We start from the raw sequence: 5,373 nt of genomic DNA, 5'->3' as shown, positions 1-5,373 counted from the left end.
AAACCTATGGCAAGTCATTGAATATTTCTAGCTGAGCCTTCTTGCTGGCTAACACCACACTGAGGCATCTATCCCCATAGGCAGTTGCTCAAGTTTTCATTCTCTGCAGCTGCCAGTCTCGTTCCAGATTTAGAGTTAGTGGTTTATCTTTCTACCTTAATTTTCCAATGGGCTCAAAAACTTGGTTACTTTGCAGTTTTCCATCTTTTTTCCTGCCCTTAGGGTGGTACTGACAGTCTTTCCAATTGTGCACACGTCCAAGCTCAAATCTAACAAATGCAAGGCTATTTTTATTTCTTCTAAGAATTGTGTTCACAAAATCTGCTTGATATATTTGGGTTGAATTTCTGGAATAAATCCTACTTGGTTATAATGTGGTACATACATTATTAGATTTTGTTTGATGATATTTTATTTACCATTTTTACATTGATAGTTAAAAATGAGAATTGAGTTTCATTTTTAAGCAATGGCTACAAGTTTTCATATCAATATGCTCACATCAACAAACGATTTAAAATGTTTTTATTTTTTTGAACAGTTTTCTTAGTAGTATGATTATATTCCCTTTAAAACCTAGGTGGAAACAAACCAAAAAAAAAAAAAATTTAAGGGACAAATAATTAAAATTTCTCACTATTTTTTCCATGGAAATTGGATTTTTTATACTTCATACTACCAATATATTTAGTTCAATAATAAGTAAAGTAAATAATTATGGAGTTGCATTTTGGAGTAAATATGTTTATGTATAATTTCTCTCTTTGCTTAATTATTTAATGCTTGATATTCTTACTTCTTATACTGCACATTCTCCATTCATCACACTTATTATTTTTTAATGTATAATAAAGGTTTTTCTTGTTGATTTTTCCAAAGAAAGAGCTTTAATGTTTACTCATTTATTAGTTATTTTATTTTTTTCTGTTTCCAACTTATTACTTTCTGGTCTTGTATTATTTATATGAACGATTTTATATTATTTATGTCATTATTGAATGACAATTTTGTGTAATAGAGTTGGGAGGATTTTTTTTTTCTATTCCTGGCTTCGTCATGACAGATAGGTGTTGCTGGATATTTGAAAGCCTGAAAGTACATGAGTACATGGGCTTTGGCAGGGGAAGTTCAGGTAACTGAAATTGACTCAAGGAGTTGCTTGTAAAAAAAATAAAAAATTTGAAAGCAATCAAGGTTTGCTTTCAAATTAGCAGGCTACAGATTGGATTGTCATTTTCATGTATGGATGCAAACGTTTTTAAAATTCTATTTCTACAGCCTAAAATGTCTAATATAACTTATCTATTTATTGAATAAACGTGAGTTGAACATTTGTTATGTGAAATACACTATGGAAATGTTTAGGGAAACAGAGATAAATAAAACACAGGAATTATCTTGAGAAAGTTTACCTTCTAGAAGAGACAAGGCAGTCAGATACACATACATGCACATGCACACTCATCCACACATACCCACTCAGGTACACACACATGAACCCCCTCACTCACACACACGCATGTGCGCACATGCATGCATACAAGCTTCCATCTCATGCTTCAATTATTTATGATAGTGTGCAATATAATTATTCAGAGAGGCATTGAAAAAACTCTTGGGAACACAAGACACATCAATGAATTTTCACTGGAAGAGGCAGAAAGTCTCAAGAGAAGCATAAATATTTGAACTGGACTATAAAGCATTGAGGGAATTTTGTCAGTTCTAGGAAATAGGGAAGGTAATTTCTAACATGGAAAATTATTATCACATGAAAAATCATGAACGTATAATGAATATGCTGAATGTAACTAACACAGCGGGAGAAAAGGGAATAACTGAAAGGCAGAGAATGAGGCCGGGATTATATGTCAAGAGAAAAATTGCAAATGACTTTCAAGACTCCTGTAAACTATATTTAAATTATACGGAAGGCTGATCCCAGGTTTTGAATTTGGCTCTGGCTCCTCTTTTGTTCCAATCCTTTGCTCTTTCTGTTCCAATTAGTAGTTTCCAGGCTTGAGTCCATCCTCTACCACCTTTTGCTGCAATCTCATTTCTGGCATACAGCCTGCACCCTACTCCTATTATTTTCTGGTATAGATTCTCATTTCTCACCCAGCTGTACAGCTGCTGCTGCAGCTAGCTGGGATGTTTCTCCGGAAGCCACAATACCTGTTTGCTTCCCACCAGCCTCTGCATGAGTCAGACAATTTGGCTGCAGTAGTGTGGTGAGGATTGCAAATGTGCAGCTGAGACATTCCATTTGCTGTGACTCCATATGCTGCCCATTAAATTCTGGCCACAATCATACACGTTTGCACTATGACCCAAAGCAGCTTTCCTTTCCTTGGTGAAAATTGATACTTTTCGTAAAGCCCAGTGCCCTGGCATGTCCATAATCATTCACTTGTCAATCATTGCTTTGGTGTGGAACACCTTTGAGGCTTTTCTCTTGCTACCAGCTCCAGTAGCCTCTCAGAGTCCCTGCCCAATCTTGAGAGGAGGATAGAACTTGCATTGAAGTGATTAGAGAAACCTCAAACAATTCAGAAATTCAGGTGGACAGGCCACATGCTTTCACAAAGCAGGTCTTTGGCAGCGAGAGGCTCTGATGAGGGAGAAGGAAGGGGTGCAGTATATTTCAGCGGATGCACGTGGCTGAGCGCTGATGCTGTGCTTTCTGGAGAAAATAAGCCAAGAAACCTCAAGCTGCTGTTGAGTCCTCTCCACAGGCTCTTGGGAATGAATGGGCTGGAAGGCCCTGAGCACATTGCTTAACTTTTCTCTGTAAATCCATAACTGTTCCCCCAGGCAATTTTGGAGTCAGACTGTGTAGTTTATATTTTAACAAATTATTCTGGAAAGAAAGTTGGGGTGGCTGCTTATATCCCTCGCTATTTCAGTTTCCTTGATTCAAAAGTCTTATATTATCAACTTTGCTTTTCCCAAGTTCATCATTTTATGGGCCACATTAAGTATATTTTTAGATATTTGCCATTTTCTTCATTTAGATTAAAGCTGAGAAACAGAATCTCGCTTTCTCTCCCTTTACACGTTCGGTTTCATTTTACATTAATTGTGTAGAGGTTATAGATTTTGAAACTTATTTTATTCAAGTCCCACCGTGTTTTCTTTACATGTTGAATATGACAGAGATGAAGCCATTAGTATTGCTATCATCCTCTGTCAGACACCCTTTTAGAGAGACAGCCTGAGACATGAGTGACACTGCCAGAGGAACTCTGCCAGAGGAACTGCCAGGTTCACCTCCATTTCTCTAGCACAAAGCCCCTGGTTCACCAAACATACTTTTAATGTTTTTTTTTAATTTTTTGAGACCTTTGCATTTGTATTTTGCAACAGCTGCTTCTGGTTCCTCTTTCACCCCATGGCAGAGTTCCTTCCAGGGCAGTGTTTCTACTTGTTATTCATGAGTAGGTTTATAGATCTATGAATATCATGAAATTGCATGCAAAATTTGTGTTTTTGAGAATATTTTATTGAGAGCTATCGTTGTAATCAGATTCACAAAAATCTAATCAAGAAAAAATATACCATCCAGACTTAATTCAAATTGTATCCCTTTTAAGGAAGACATATTTTCTTTAATAGTAAAATTGTGGCAATTAATTGAAAAATCAACAATTGCAGCCGACTAGTTACTGGGTCTTGCAAGTGTGCAGTGGACATCTCTGTGCAGTTAAAGCAGTCATGTGCCTGTATTCCCAGCTACTACAGAGTCTGAGGTGGGTGGATTGCTTGAGCCCAGGAGTCTGAAGCTGCAGTGAGCTATGATCACACCACTACACTCCAGCCTGGGTGACAGAACGAGATGCTGTCTTAAATTAATAAATGTAGATGAATAAATAAAAAATAAGGCAGCCACACCATACTGCCCTTTGTCAGTCTGGCCTAATTGTGAACACAGGCAAGTATTCCAGTTCTCTCTGACAGGGCATAGCCAGATTGAGAACAATAGATAACACTTTACTGAACATTAGTGCCAAACAAAATGTAAATAAATGCAGTCAGTGCCATCTAAGTAGATGAACTTCTTTAGAAAATATGCTCACTCATCTTCAGCACGTATTCTATGTAAGGGTTATATCTTGACCTATTTTTTCTGTCACCCAAGAGTTGTCTTAAACATTTCAAGACATCCTGATGTGTACAATGGGAACTCAGTTTGAGAAGTTCAAACAGCGGCTGTCTCCAGTACTTTTCTCCTGCTGCTTGTGGATGGCCTTTCCCTATGACTGACAGTGGAAATGAGCTGTCCCTACTTGTGTTTGTCCTCTGGGTCTTTTTTACTCACCAGCACCTTAAAACTGGTCTTGATTTTCTTAAGTCTTCTCATAATGCTATTCTTTCTGATTTTCTTTCTGACTTAGTCCCTAAATCTGCAAAACTACCTCCAGGCTGAAATGCTGGCATCCCTTTAGTTGGAAACTTTCTCCTCTAGCAGGGAGACTGACTTACCAAATGCACTGGGTCAGTAATTGGTGCCTGCTTTAGGCAGGAAAGCAAATATAGTGCATACTCAGAGGGCCTGGAGTCCGTTTGCGATCAGTACCTCTTGGATCTCTGGAGAAGTCCATTTCTGCAAGGTTTTCTCCACTGTCTGCCCCCTGGGTGGTAGAGAGTAAGTGAATCTGACAGCATTTGTTTGGTTCAGTGGTTCTCCTTTTGCCTGCTGATTACTTCTGCCAATATCTGGAATGTCAAATACAGCACCTATGTGTCATGGCTAGCTCACCTCAGCAGACCGTGTCATTACTCAGTCATTCACTCATTTTCACACAACAATATGTAAAAAGATTATAGGCATTGTGGTAGGCATTAACCATAAGAAGACTAAATCCCTTCTGTTTGAAAGCTTCTGTTCTAATGGAAGAGGCAGACAAAGAGGCACGGGACAATATAAATAAGCTATGAAGAGTTTTTTCTTGGACCTGTGAGCAGGCTGAGGAATGGCTTCTCCCCAACAGATCTAGCCCACAGCGGGGAGATTTTGGGGAGCTGGGTTTAGAGGAGGAGTACAGGTGCAGAGAAAGAGCCAAGGGAGAGTTCTGGAAGTCAAGTAGTAACTTGTGAAAGAGGTTTTTCTGCTTTTTGGTGAGACATAAGGGTCACATTTGAGATGGTAGCCACTCACGGGAAAGGCCACTTCAGAGCTCTCTGTCTATTCCTTTCAAAAGGCATGTCCTGGATGTGTTAAATTTTTATGATGAGAGACAAGAATTTGTCTCTGATACTGGTGTTCTGTTCCTTTAAATAATCTAAATTTCTAAAGCATATTTAGTCATGTCTACCACTTCATATAAAGCAACAAAATAGAACAAAATTGACGGTTCCAAAATAACTTTAGCC

The sequence above is a fragment of the Homo sapiens genome, chromosome 7 (assembly GCF_000001405.40).
Source record: "Homo sapiens chromosome 7, GRCh38.p14 Primary Assembly".
NCBI classification, from domain to species: domain Eukaryota; kingdom Metazoa; phylum Chordata; class Mammalia; order Primates; family Hominidae; genus Homo; species Homo sapiens.
Note: the sequence above shows the minus strand (reverse complement) of the source record.